At 41.9% G+C, this 15,144-nt stretch overlaps 1 protein-coding gene across 2 annotated transcripts in view, besides 2 other annotated features; it reads left to right on the forward strand.

Moving 5' to 3' along the window:
* Positions 4,417–4,666: a silencer, noted in NCBI's record as "silent region_19463". NCBI's record gives its function as "represses an Ori minimal core promoter by ATAC-STARR-seq in GM12878 lymphoblastoid cells {active_cell/tissue: GM12878}" and the evidence as "EXISTENCE:reporter gene assay evidence [ECO:0000049][PMID:35858748]".
* Positions 4,680–15,144, forward strand: part of OXR1 (oxidation resistance 1) — a 482,517-nt gene continuing 472,052 nt past the window's right edge. Inside the window, exon 1 of one of the 2 annotated variants that reach the window (NM_018002.3) lies at positions 4,680–4,869. The gene's annotated coding sequence lies outside the window, so the exon portion shown is untranslated. The remainder of the gene's footprint in view (positions 4,870–15,144) is intronic. The other variant, NM_001198533.2, reaches the window with a different exon arrangement.
* Positions 4,687–5,046: a silencer, noted in NCBI's record as "silent region_19464". NCBI's record gives its function as "represses an Ori minimal core promoter by ATAC-STARR-seq in GM12878 lymphoblastoid cells {active_cell/tissue: GM12878}" and the evidence as "EXISTENCE:reporter gene assay evidence [ECO:0000049][PMID:35858748]".

Below are 15,144 nucleotides of genomic sequence, written 5' to 3' on the forward strand. Positions count from 1 at the left end.
AAACATTGTGGAAATAAACTAATGGTCATAGATTTCTTAGTTATATTTGAGAATCTGAGATCACACATTAAACATACTTGTTATTGTAGCATTGGACTCAAAGAGAAGTGAAACGAGTTGTAGCTTTATCAGGATCTTGCTGCTTCTGCAAGAACTAAGCCACGTTTGTGTTAGATTCAGAGGCAAGAAAAGAGCATCCTGATATTTGAAGTACATAATTATCCACATTCTTCTTTCCTGAGGAAAGGGCCATCAGAGCTAAGTCTTTTAGTCAAGAAGCATCTTTGATTCACAAATACTGTGTGATCCTTAATGTCCCATGACTATTATCTAGAATTGTTTCAGCCTGAAAGTGCAGAGAGAGGGTAGAAATGTGCATTTATATCTTTAGTATATATCATTAATGAATCTGTTGTGACATTTATCTATAGTCATGAAATGAAAAAATAATTGGGGCATAAGTGACTTTGAACTACTACTATTTAGTTCTCCAAATTTAATTTTTTTCACAACGGGAAAATAGCTATCAAGAAGACAAACTTTTAATAGCCCTTTAATGAAACTGTCTTGGTATTTCCTTTTCCCTTAAAAAACTCATTTACAAATTGTTTCACATTTCTACCTTGGTTCTGATTTTCTAAAAGCAAATTTGGTATGAAAGAAGTGCAACAGAAAGACAGGCTAGTGTCCAAGTATCTAAAATGGTTTGCCTCTGTGCAATGGAAGGAGAATATGCTCAGTGGTCAGTGCCAATACCTGGAAGTATACCAGATGCTTGGCAGTGTAGCATAGATCTCAGTGAAGGAATTCAAAGTAAGACAAAGTAAAGGAGAAAAGAACGGACTATACAGAGGTATCCCTACACAAAATGGTGAAAGAAGTAGTGTATATTGCATGTCAGCCTACCTCCAGCATCAGCTCTCTCCATGTTTCCTTGACTCCCTGAAAGCAGATGACTTAGTGCCCACCTCATGCATTCCCCGTTTCAGACTTAAATATTCACTTCCTGTCCTATAATCCCTCAATGCATCAGCAAGCACCTATTTGAGCACTGACGAAGATAAAATACACACAAATATAAATTTGCCATTGCCCCAATCCTCCAGAAACTTGCCGTTTAGTGGGGGAGGAGAAGCAAGTATGTAGATAACTAAAACAAAAAGGCAGTGTGGTGTAGAGAGGGACAAAGAACTACAGAGATGAGAACTAGGAGAAGAAAAGAAGAATAATCTGAGGTGTAGGTTAAGATGTGGTATGTGGGAGGCTGAGACAGGAGAATTATTGGAATCCTGGAGGCAGAGGTTGCAGTGAGCTGAGATAGTGCCACTGCACTTCAGCCTGGGCAACAGAGTGAGACTCCGTTTCAGAGAAAAAAAAAAAAATATGTTTGCTGTGGTGTGACAGAGCTAAGGGAGGAGTTCCTAGAAGACAATGTACAAAGTCATGAGAAGAAGTTCAAGGAAAAGATCCTGGATTTGATAAGTTTAACGTAACTATAGAATGCAGTTTAAATGAGATGACTCATGGATTGCATTGATTTATTCCTAGAATAACAAATATTAAAGGAGGTAACAAACAAATTGCATAAGATAAGTAAAGGGAAAAAAGACAGCCAATTATTCAAATAATTCTAGCATAAGAAATAATACAAAACTATAAGGACAGCAGCATTTCCCCCATCTGTTCATGTTTTGAGGCACAATGGGAAAACCCCCACTTTTTATTATCAAATGGTTTACATAATGATCAAGTACATTAGATCAAAACAAAAAAAATGGGCTTTAATAATATGGAAAACATCCTTTTCCTGCAGAGACAGATTGGGGACTGAAAGCGTCAGTTGGCTGGGTGGCTCATTAGCTGTCTTTAATGAGTGGCACCACCTTGGAAATAACCAGGGCCCTGAAATAAAGATGAAAAGGCAACAAAGAGGGGACTCTCTGTTACCCTTAGGCAGGCAAATCAAAGCAACTGAGCCTAAAAAGAGATGGGAAAAGTTCACTTCAAAGCATTATTATTATCTTGCTCATTTCTGAATAACTGAAACCAACGGACCTCCCAACACACTTGCTGTCCTTTTTTTGTCCATGGGGAAACAGGCCAGTCTATGAGTTTACTGGTTATCCATTATTTCCATCTTGCAAACATCCCCTATTCCTTCTTTTGCTAACCAAATACTTTTTTCCCTTTTGAGAATCTTTCATCCCCAAGAGGATGCAGGTGGTTGATTGTGTGAGCCAGGACAGCCAATAAGAGTACACCTTCAAAGATTGATCTGCTCAACAGAACAAGAGACTTGATTTCTTTGTAAGGTTACAAAATTTGTCAACTGTGTAGGGCTGGCACTATGGACATAATGTGAGGGGAATGAAACCAACACAGGAAGCAATGCCGAAAGCAAGTTAGAGAAAGAGAAAATCATATTCTTCCTAATGTTGTTAAGCCCAGGACAAGCCCTGCTATTTCTAGTACTTCTGAGTTACACGGGTCAATGCATTTTCTCTGCCTAAGTTAGAATTGCATCCCTGTCACTTGTTACTTCGAGTCCTCAATGCAGTACGTTTTTGAGCTACACTTTTCCATAGGACACCAAAGAGACTTTGAAATCAAGATTTTCCCTGTTTCATGATTATGGGTAGTGTGCATGCTGTAGCATGAAGATGTTCAGAGTGCCATACCACCTTAAGAATAATTACTGAAAGAGGAAGAATGAAAGCAACCAGGATGAAAGTAAAGTTTATTTTTCACCTTCCTTCACCACTGATAGAAAGGAATGATTTGTGTTGATAGTCTAAGGAAATTCACATTTTGATCTCCCAATGAATCACCTATGGAAAATTAGAAACATGATGTTGTCATTATAAAGTGGCCCTGGTCCTGCAGATAATATTTGCAGCTTCAGTAAAAAAGTAAAAGATCAAACCTTAATTGATTACTTATTTTGGGGTGCACATGGCACTAAATTGCAAGTGGGGATGGAAGGGCGCAAATATCTTAGGAGGGAGGACATCTTGACCCAAATAGACAGATTCCACTACAGTTCTATGAAAAAATCACATGTACATTACTTAGTAGGGTTAGCAAAGTCTAACTAATTTATAATACTGGGAAAACAAAGTAGCTTTATCACAGAGTCTGAACTGAGATAATTATAAAATACATACCTAGTCTATACATTGCTTGTAGAAGATTCTCAGTAAAATCTTTCTGATAGAATAAAAATTAAACGCTATCAGTTTCAACATAACAGAAAATTTAAGCTGCGAATGCTCGTAAAGAAATTAGGTAAAAATAATGGAGAACAAAACCCGCAATCGGCTTATCAATCGGCTTACTGTTGACACGCCACGCCACTCAGAATAGTATCTAATTTTCTTGATCCCTTATCTCAGGTAAAGCTATTGACTCGGGGAAATAGGTTATGCGGAAACCATGAAAGTTTCTAGTCTGGCCGACCCTAGGTTCAACACTCTATTATTCCAGACAAGCGATGAGCTCCTGTCGCTAAATTTCAACATCCCTGTCTGTCAAATGGGAATAATAATGATTCTCTCATTGGGTGGCTGTGAGAGGTGAGTGAAACAAGACGGAAATTTGACCCAGGAAATATCTGTACCTCTTACTTTAAAGAACAGAATTAAAAAATAATAATAAATGATCAGAAATTAAGGTAGAATAGAGTGAACACTAATAGCGGGAAATAGCTAATTTGCAGGTGAGGTGGCTGAAAGGCTCCTACGCTTGAAGTGTTTGCTGGATGCACAGGAGATCTGGGATACATCCCGAACTCGGCAACAGGACCAGCTCCTTTCCTCAGGGTTACAGAACAGCCAGGTTCCAGTTCAGGTCTGGGAATCTACCCATCCAGAGTTTGCGCCCTTTTCGTTTTGCAATTTAAAACCGGGTTGGAGGGGGAAGGAGTGAAGGCAGCATGCGGAGAAAGTAAATTACAGTTCAGGTGACAGGAACAAGAAAATCTCCAAGGTCAGGGTGGGGTGTCAACGAATTATGCAAAACACTGCGGAATGAGGAGTCACAAACGCCTTGCAAAGAATTCTGAATTTTAGAAGCTCTTTGCAGAACCCCCTTCAGCCCGCTCCAAGCTGCCTTGGGTCCCTTTCTAGGCTGTCAGACTTCGCCTTCCTTTCCTCCTTGTTTTTCCCAGCAACCAAAGCATCTGAAGAACATTTTTTTCCTCCGTAAATCTGAACAAATTTCCTTGCAGCTTTCCTTGCAGAAGCTTTTTTATCGCTTTAACAAAACTTTCCTCTGCTTCTCTAGGGAGAGCCTAGTATTAGAGCTGCCCGACAGGCGGGACCCCGAAATCGGGGCAGCTCTGGCTTAGTCCAGGCTATTCGAGTGGGCGCCTGAACTGGAGGCGCCGTCTCCACCGGGATGGGGATCCTAGTGCAGGCAGACGCCTGGCAGGACTCGGCGAGCTGGGGTCCCCACCGCGGTAGCCAGAGCAGAAACCCGAACCCCAGCCAGAGGGGCCGCGCGCGGGGAGGGGTGCGCGCTAAGCCAGCGTGGCTTCCGCAGGAGCTATTTTTAGCGGTGCGTGCCTCCCCCCGCCCCCGGCGTGGTAGCCTCCGGCTCGCGGCGCCCCACGGCTCCTCTCAGTCTCCCCCGCCGCTGCCGGCTCTTGGTAGCTTCCACGCGGGCAGGTCCGGAAACTGAGCATGTCTGCAAGCGCTCAGCGGCGCCGGCAGCAGCGGGGCTAGAGCTGGGCTGCGTCAGGCTGAGCCCATTCACCTCGCGGCCACAGGAGCTCAGCGCCGGCGCCGCGCCGCCCAGCCCCGCCGAGAGGGGCGCACTCGCCGCCGCGGGGCCCGCCGCCGCTCACCGCAGCCCCCTCCTGGCGACCCGCAAGTAAGTTTGTGAGGCTGCTGGGCGTTAGGGCGAGGGCTTGGCGCCCGGGGGAGTCCAGGAGGGATAGCGAGAGGCGCGGCTGGCGCCCGGGAGAGCCGGCTGGCCTCTGCCCCCTGTGCCTGGCGCCTCTCCGAGCCACTTAGCCAATTTGAAAGCGGGTGGCCATTGGGATGCTCGAGCGGGGACGACGGGCAGAGCAGGAGGGCAGAACTAGCTCCAGCGGGGGCCCAGAGGGCGGACTTGGGAAGAAGGAAAGACCGCGCGGCGAGGGAGGAGACCGGGCGGCGAGGGAGGAGACCGGGCGGGGAGGCTGGGTTTGGGGCGCGGGAGCCCGGCCAGGGACAGCCGCAGAAGGAAAGTGGGGGTGTCGCCGGGGGATAGAGTGGGAGCAGCGTGAGAGCAGTGTTGGGGGCGCAGAGTGGAGGGCAAGCGTGTCTTGAACAGAACGGCAGGAGGATGGGTGGAAAGTGGGGCGCGTGGAAAGCGGATTTGGACGAGAGCAAAGGACGCCGGTGGAAGGGACAGTGGGCTCCGGAGGGGCGAGTGGATTCGGATAATTTGGGGAATCAGTAAAAGGCTAGGGGGCACATCATGATGGAGTCAGCCTGGAATCTGTCTCCCGCTAGAGTACCCGAGGCCACATGTTGGGAACTGGCTGGGGAAAGGATGGATGTAGAAAGTGGCCTGGAGGGCCGACTGGAAAATCGCTGAGGGATTTGGGTGAAGAGGGGGGGAGCTGTGCAGTATCGGGCGGAGGAACTGGGCTGCTGGTAGGGCCTGAAAGGTTCAGGAGAGGGTTGGAGGCTTCCCCGTGCCGCCCCTTGAATAGTGATTTAGTACTGTTATCTGAGGTTCACTTTCACCCCTGGCTCCTCCTCCGTCTACTACCCGGCTTGGACGCACCTCGGCTCGCTGTAGGCGAGCTTTAGGAGATTTAAATAGACATTAGGCAGTGGGGAAGGTAGTCGTTTACGGGGGGAGCTGCTCGGGCTTCCGTTCAGTGGTTCCCGGCACGCTCAGGGTGCAGTGTAGGGTCTGAATGTGTGTATTGCGGGGGTAGGGGGAGTGGTGTCAGTTCTAGGCCACAGGAATTCGTGGTCTGGCCCCAGAGGTGCGGTGTTTTTGGCCGGGAAGTCAGGCAGAAGTCTGCAGCGTGCAACTCGCAGCGGGGCGTGTGTGTGCGTGTGTGCGCGCGCGTGTGCATGTTTCCGGCCCGGGGTCGCGTGTGTGGCTGCAGCCTGTCTCCGTGACAAGAAGATCCAGGGATCTACGGGCGGCACGGGGAAGGGATTAAGGGGAACATACTTCCCTACGTCTTTTCTGCCTCCTTTTCCCAGGGTAGCATTCTTTGCTTATCCAATGATGCCTCTTTCTAACCTCTCCCTCTCCACTTACATCCCAAACCTGATGCGGGTCTTCTCTGATTCGGCACTCTAAGGAGGACTCAGCCGCCGGCTGCGACCACCGTGGACTCCCTCTATGGAAGGGAATCCTGGGAGTCCCGGCCGTCAGAGGGGTTCCCAAATCCAAAGGGTCCATCTCCAAGGCGTCACTCCAGGGGTCCGCGGTTCACTTTGCTGCCCCTTGCAGGTGATGCTGTGATTGTTGCCTGCGGACTGGGAAGCACGATGGCTCCAAAAGGCCAGCGGGGCCGAGAAGCAGGGACAGAGACCAGCATTTAAGGGATCTCTGGTGGGGGCCTCCCTGGAGTTCTCCACATGTAAATATAGCGAAAAAAGAAAACACTACGTTACTAGAATAAACACGTCCTAAAATTTCTGTGCAAAAACACCTTTTTGAACAGCAAAGATTTCACCCACCAAAACAAGGAAGCAAGAAGCTTCCACAGTGTGCAGGATCCGAAACAGGACCGGCCCGGCGTTGGGTGAGAGTGGGGGAGGGGTTGTCGGCTTCTCCATCCAGCTTGCCATGTTCTGTCGTCGGTTTCACATTTTCAGAGAGACTTTACCAGATGCAGGAAATGAGGATGAAGGCAACTCTGGAAGGATGCAAAGAAGGGAGAGCAAGCACTGTACCTACTGTCTGCTGTCTAAGAGGGCTGGTCTCATAACTAAAAGGTCCAGTCCCTGAGATCTTGTGTGCAACCGTCAGAAATAGTTCAGGACATCAAATTGCACAGAGAAGATTCAGATGAAGGGAAACAAGAACTCTGTGGAAAACTGTTGGGGACAGTGGCACGAGTTGTCTTGCAAGGTGATGTCTGTCCCGTGGAGGGACACAAGAGCGAGGACAGCATGGTTCTAATGGCCAGGGCATGTCTTCTTATTCCATGTGACAGTGGCTGGCTGAGTTGCTAGTACGTTTTTGAAATATACCCTTTGAAATATGTTGATTATTCTGGACATCTGTAAGGTGGGAGATTTGAATAAAAAGACTTCTGCTGTCATTATTGGCTTTTATGGCTATGATTTTTTTCAGTCATTATTATAAATCATGTGAAGGTAAAATAAATGATCATTTTAGCCATTCTGTTCTGCACAGAATGCTGTTCAAATAAAACATCATCTGATATGTTTGCCTGTATTGTTTTGTTTGGGGGTCACGGAAGAGGGAAAGTCGGCCAAATTGATTAGGGTATCATATAAAAGCAGAGATTAGGTCCGGGTAGATCTTTTGAGTGTGTGCAGGAAAAGGCTTCATTATAGAATGCTAAATTTAATGTGAGATGAGAGAATCTTTTACTCCCGATCTCCTGCATTTGAAATACAAAGGATTGTACCCTTGGGCTGGTTCCTGGTCCTTAAGTGGAAGCCTAACTGGACACTTTTTTTCTGGAGGATTGTTCCCTAAATCCTGGGAAGCTTTAGAAAATAGTCAATGGAATTTTTGTTGCCCTAAGATAAAGTCATTACAAAGAAAAAAAAAAAAGAAGAAGAAGAAGAAAGTAAAGGTGGTGAAATGGCTTGAGGAGGCAGAATGAGAAATAGAGATGTCAGTCAAAGTGGAAGAAGAGAAATCACTTTCTCTCACTTTAGGGATAGATCTTGTTGATAGGCTTAGAGCAGTGATTCTCCACTGGGGGCAGTTTTACCCCCTAGGGGATACTGACAATGTCTGGAGACATTTTTGGTTGTCACAACTTTGGGGGAGAGGTGCTGCTGGTGTCTTGTGGGCCAGGCCAGGGATGCTGTGAACATTCTACAATAAACTGGACAGCCTTCTGCAATTATCCAGCCCAAATGTCAGTAATGCTTAATTTGAGAAACTTGGCTTTCAATAAGATGTGCTTAACATTAAAAGCAACCCCTTTTAGGATACTTTCAAATATTCCTATTGGAAGTCCATCTTGAAAATCAAGAGTAGTTAATAAGAGACTTTCTTTGCAAAATGGTCCATATTCAAAAACACTTGTTTTAAGGAAATTAAAGAGGCTTCCTTTTGGCAGAACTGTTTTTCAGCCTTTAAAAAACAAACAAACAAAAAATCTTAAGACATATTGAGAATTTCTAAAAGGTGAATCATATGCATATGTGCATGTGAGCTAAGTAAACATTGTTTGATAAAACCAAATCAGAACTATTCTGCTGTACTAATTTCACTGAACTTGTTTGGTAATTGCTTTTTAAAAGCGATAATCTTAATTTTTAATTCAAATGAATTTAATTAAAATTACAACTTGTAAGTTCTTTATCAAGTGAGGGATTGAACAATCAGAGAAAAATGTTAGACAAATATTTATTTGAAACACCCCAAAATATTCCAAAATGAAATCTTAGTATTTATAGGTATCTACATAGAAAGGTAAGAATGTCGTATAATTTTCTCGTATTGTATTTAATTTCCATTTGAAATCGACAGCATGGAGCGTATTGAGAAGCATCAAGCCTTTCGATTCCGTAGCACAATACGTTGCCTAGAAAGGAGGAACAATACCTTACACTCATAAATGTAATAAGATACTGTTCTAATATCCCCTGCATGCAGGAGCTCAGAGCACTTATTAGGTAAAAGCCTTGTCATTAGCACAATGAAGCCTAGTGAAACTAAAATTTGGTCGTTGTATCTACCCCCTCTTCTGTCTCACCATTCCACCCATTTTTGTTATTGGTTTGTTTCAGAATTCATTCTGAAGGTATCATCATTAGGGTTGCTTACTTCCTTTCTTGTTCTAATAACTATTCCAATCACCCTTACCTATTACTGTCCCTCAGGGATTTGTGTCGCAGCAGACTTGATACTCCTGCTAAGACTCTGGGGCACCCAGCAACGCCACCCCCCCCCCGACCCCGCCCTTTCTCCTGTGCATACAAACACAAACAGCTCTTTTCTGCTTCTAGGTGGAATGGGGATTTGTACCTGTCTTGGAAAAAGGCAGTGGGGAGAGCCTTTGTTTTTCACAAAGGCAACCTCAGTTTCTCTGCTTCTATATTTACTGAATTGGTTTGTTCAATTGCATATTCTTGCTATTAGAGAGGCTTCCTCTTTCCCAAGGGAATAGTGAAAGACCTGAGGAAAAGATGACTTCAGTGTAAGCAACACTGGTACTGATAGAATGCACCTGTCATTGGACTACGTGAAAACCCAATAAATATGGTTTGAACCAGTGATAATCATATTTGTAAATTCAATAAGCATTTGTAAACTCAGCAGTAGCAGGTTCTGTTCTAGACACTGGGACTCTTGCACTTGCAATACCCAGATATATCTCTAAAAGTATCTGTACAAAGAAACATAAGATGGGCATTCATTTTCATTGAATTTGGAGCAATTATAGAGATATTTCCCGATTGTTGAAAAGACTTCAGAACATAATTGGTGAGATGCAGAAGGCAGAAGAAATCATTAAAGGGAAAACAGTTACATGGATTTCTGTACAGCCTAGACAAGGAAGAAATGAGAAATTTGAGGTGAAAGGGGTCAGTTCTTGTCTCCCTTTTCCTTTCCTTAGCAAATGATTATTGATTTTGTTTGACATCTGAGCAAGGAGAGGTGGTTTCCTTCCCTGCAGATACTTGTTGAATGGATGTGTGCCCTTTTGCACTTCTGATAGCCACAGTGGTAGAAGACAATGGGCTGGCTGGCACTGGTAGTTAGAGGAAGCAGAATTTCAAATCAGTTTTGTTCTAATGGTGTTTGCAGCAAAGGCTCTAACCACACACTTTCAAAGACTGAACATTCTGTGTCACTATTTTGGGGGGATTAATATAAAGACTACAGAACTGAGCATTTTTGTTATTTTGGGTACTAGGGAATACCTATGCTTTAAAGTATACTTGTTTGGAGAAACCATATTTATTTGGGGGAAAAGGAAATATTGATAAGATGGCAGCTCCATTTACCTAAAAACAAACTTGCTGCTTACTCTGGCATGTCAATTATTGTGCCAGCTGGAAGGAGGGTCATGTGAGAATTTTATCAAACACCTTATGTTGTTCTTGTTGAATTCAGGAGCAACAACAAACACACACACACACACAGAGCAAGATTTTGAAATTTATGCTGTAGCAAAGGCAAAGAGAATATCTTTTTTTAAAATTTCATTTTATCTTATAATTGTTAAAGATAAGTAATAGCAATGCAGGAAAAAGGCAACCTTGTTTGTGGAAGGTTTTACTTTTGTTTACAAATGCTTATTCATCTTAAGAAAAAAAATAGCCTGGAACATTTCCCCAGGCTTTCAGTCTTCTTTATAAATAGTGTATCTCTTCTATCTCTGGATTATTCATTATGTGATGCCGTTTGGAATCTGAATCCTGGGCTCAGATGGCTGATGTGGTTCCTTCTGATTTTGTCATTCAGAATTGTCTCTATCCTCCTAAAGAAGGTGAAAGAGACATGCTGTTTGTCATTGGGGGCACAGTAATAGGTGCAGGCTGTAGTCTGTTTTACAGAATTACATGCATGTTGCTTGACCTTGGTCTGGGACCCCACTGACCAAAACACTGAACTCAGCCTTCTGGATCATGAAGCCTGGTTTTTGCAATTTTGATTTGAACAACAGTGTTTTGACCAGGTTTGACAATCAACTGATGTGTTTGGAAAAGACTGACTGATGAGCCAGAATACTAACCACCCATTTACAAGGAAAGAGGCACAGACATTTAGGGAAGATCAAGAGCTTTGCAGTCAAATCTGGCACTCCTGCTTAGTAGTTTGTGACTTTAGATGAGCTTAACTTTATGGAACTTTTATTTCTTCATCTTTAAAATGAAGATAATTATGAAGTGATTTGCCTGAGGTCAGTAGTCACTCTGCATCATTTCAGCTTAGTTTACAGTTTTCAAAATCTCCATCCAAACCTCTTTCTCAAGAGCATGCTTATTTTCTTGGTTAAATCCATGTTTCTTCTGTTTATTTAAAAATGCTCAAGAACCGATATTTAGCTCAAGAGCTTCTCCTTTCAGCTGTTAGATTCTGTTAGAGGCAAAAAAAAAAAAAAAAAAAGGTAACTGATGGGTCTCTAATTATGTTCAATTCAGGTATTCACCTAAATTGTCAAAAAGATTAAACGCCTTTTTATTTTTTCCTAATTGGGATGAAAATAAGTAGAGCTTTAGGTAAAGATTTCTAAAACCAAACAAAACCATATGCATAATGTCTTTCAACTAGGATGTATTTTTTGATGATCAGAAAATTGAAGATTGGCCCTTGCTGATAATTCTGTTATTAAGTTTATAGATGTTTTTATACCAGTTTAGTGTTGTTGCCATTATGGTTTATTGAAGCATTTCAGATTCAATAAAAATCTGAAAACCTGTTGTATGTTGTTCATTGTAAAATAAATAATGTATGTATTCTTATTTGTAATTTATGGTGACTGATATGCATATGATCAATTGGAATAATGAAAGAGTTAAAATTGGAAACCAGAACAGATGGAAACTTTGAAAGAACATTCTCTTTAGCACCACCCAAGTTTGTATTCAAATCTCTGTTCCTCAGTTATTAGCTACAAAAAAATTGGGCAAATTACTTTCTACCTTACTACTTTTTAAGAATCATATCCACCGGATTATAGGTTATGATTCCTGTGATGATTCGGTGACATAAGCAAGTAAAGATGCTAGCATGATGTCTGGCACCCTCTTTGTCCTTGTACTCTGCTAATTCCACCACACTTCAGCTGTGCCCTTGCAAGTGATCATTTATGCTTGAATTAGTTCCAACTGTTTTACTCTCAAGAATCATAAAGCCTGATCTCAAGTTTCTTGAGGAAAAAAAAGAGAGACATGATTCATGACTGTGTAAGTGGAGCCGGGAGCTCTATGTGACTCTAAGCAGGACCTGATTCAGGGCTCACACCCATGTGACCAGTTGCACTGCAGTTTCCATTGCAATTTCTTAGCTCCTCTTCCTTAATCTTGGCTATGTCCTTGACAGGCTTACTCTTCAGGGTTCTAAGATGGCTGCCAGAAGCTTTCAGAGCTTCATGTTCCCAGGTTCAAACCTAGTGAAGAGGACAGTCTCTTCCTGTACCTTTTACAGATGAAAGAGGAAGCTGCTGTTCCTAGAAATTCCAGCAAATATCCCTGGTCAGGTCAAGAGCCCTCCACCAGTCATAGTGGCTGGAAAGGTGGAATATACTGGTTGAGGAAGTGTGTTTTCCCATAGAAAATTGAGGGATTGCTGTTTGTATGCTGATTGTATGCTAGCACAATAAGAAGCCACCACAGCATTTATGTTACTGTTTGGCCCCAAAGAAAAATGTTAGAGCCATGGTTTTATTTCATCTGGGTCATGGTTAAAGTCTAGAGGATTCTTTCTGTACCATTACTGAATATGTGTTTCCAATGATTGATCTGAATTTTCAAGATTAATGACAGCAGTGCCCATTAGCTCTCTTCCTTCAATCTACATCATTAGACTGGCTGGGTACACACTAGAATTTATGTTTTGCTACAAACAACTGTTCAAGGAACAAATTAATATATTTTCTTACATTAGATACTAGGTAGTAGAATCACTGTTTTCTGATAAAAGTCAGGAGCTGTCATCATGTAAATTGTTAATCTAACATCCCGTGATTTATTCCTTTGTTCCTGGCTTACCTTACTAACCTCTGGTCCTTCATCTACATACCAAATTACACTTTACAGGAAGGCTACTAAGATTTATGTACAAACAAGTCTTAGTATCTACAAACATGGGCAACTAAAAAAAAAATCCAGAAAGGTTAACTTGTTAAATGTATATTAAAAAAAAAAATTCTACATCATCCATTAGGGCTGTTGAATGCAGTCTCTTAAATGCAGTCATTTTCTAAGATAAAATGTGATCTTACTTTTTTAATTAACATATTAATGGACTAAGGATGCTTTCTCTCATTTATTTTTCACCCTTTGCGTAGATCACAGTGACTGGATGTCATACATCACATATTAAGCAGAAGAATGTTAACAGCCATGATAAATGGCTTTGAGTGAAAAATATTTTCTTCTGTTTTCATTCATCCAATGGTTTAGTCACATAAATAAATGTAAGTGCCTTATTTTAAAATGTCTTAAAATGGGAAAATAAAATCACATATCTTTGCATTTTTAAAGTTAGTAGCTTTCAGGCTACTATAAAATGTAGTCTGCTTGTGGTAAGTATGTCAGTGTAGCAATTGGTTTTTCCATATGTAGTTTCCAACATGGGAGGTGGGGGAGATACTTTAGCACAATGCAGTTCAAAAATTAAAAACCACAGAAATGAACCAGACTTTCATTTTCTGTTATATCTATTTAGGTTCTTAAATTCTTAAGAAGACTAAAGAAGTTGAAAGGTATTCTTTCACACGACTAAAGTATCATTGAAGTGAGATTTTTACCTCTTTGCCAGCATGTTTTTAAATTTCCAATCAGCAGTTACATTGGTGGGTGTATAACAGAGAAAGCATAAAGTCATGTGAATGTTTCAGATACAGTTTTTAATTATCTGAAATATGAAATGAACAACTAAGAAGAAAAAATTACCATTCTGGCATGGTAAAAATATTCTGTAATTTTAAGAAATACCTAGAGAGAAATCATTTTAACATAGCCTTTAAGGCATAGCTGTTGATTATATACTGTATTAAGAGTTTTGTGTTTGAGTATCATGCACACATTATGTTTGTTCCTAAATATTATGGGTAAGGTTTTCTTTGGTATTGCAGTTTTTAAATTATTTTTGCTGTCTAATGGGACTGAAAATAAAAGGTTTTTAGTAGCTTAATTAGAAACTATGCACTTTTAAAAAGTTTTCCATCAACTGCCTCTTCTGACTGAAGCACAGAGATTTGCAAAAACAGTAATAGATACATTATAGATAACTACATAGAAAAGCTCTGAACTAATCATTTAGATTACTTTGTGGAAGGGAATGGAGTAAGGCTGAAATTTCACTGGAACTTACTAATAGTAGTAAGTCCAAATAAGGTAAATCTTAAAACAAAACAGAACAAAACTCAAAGTTATGATGTTGTAACTTATCAGAGTTCCTTCACTGACTTCAATAGAAGTGTATTCTATTCAGATTAAGCAGAAAGGAATCCATTGGATGGTTATGGAGGAGTTCATGGAATTGAAGGAAATTCTGAAGAGCAGGACCTTGGACAGGATAATATCCCAGTGCTGGAATGGATCAGCTCTAGCTATTTTCCATCATTGTGTCACTGTCCTCAAGACTCAGCATTTAGAAAGGACAGAGAGAGAGAGAGAGAGACAGAGTTTGGGGGAAGAATAGGCCATTTTGACCAATAGTCCTAAAGCATAATCTATAATCTGTTACTACTGGAAGAGGGGAATAAATGATAATGTGCCTGCTGGGCAGGCACATTAGACTGATGTCCATTCAGGATGCAGAAACTTGTTTTAGTGATCATGAATTACTAGAAAGAGAAAAGGAAAACCAAAACCCTTGAGTGTATTATCTCAACAATGTCTATATGGTAAACAGAAATACTGTTTTCATTTCCTAAGGCTACATAACAAACTACCACAAACTGGGTAGCTTAAAACAACAGAAATGTATTCTCTCACAGTTCTAGAGGCTAGAAGTCTAAAGGTGTTGACACGGCCATTCGGGCTTTGGAGGCTGTATGGGGAAAATCTGCTTCATGCCTTTCTCTTAGCTTCTAGTTTTGCTGGCCGTCCCTGGCATTTGTTGGTTTATAGACTCATCACACCACCAGTCTCCATCTTCATCATCTCATGGCTTTCTCTTCTGTGTCTCTGACTCAAATTCATAGAGACAGAAAGTAGAATGGTGTTTGCAAGGGGATGGGTGATGGGGGCATAGGGAGTCAGTGTTTAATGGGTACAGAGTTTCAGTCTGAAAGGTGAAAAGACTACT

Source organism: Homo sapiens, chromosome 8 (genome assembly GCF_000001405.40).
Source record: "Homo sapiens chromosome 8, GRCh38.p14 Primary Assembly".
NCBI lineage: Eukaryota > Metazoa > Chordata > Mammalia > Primates > Hominidae > Homo > Homo sapiens.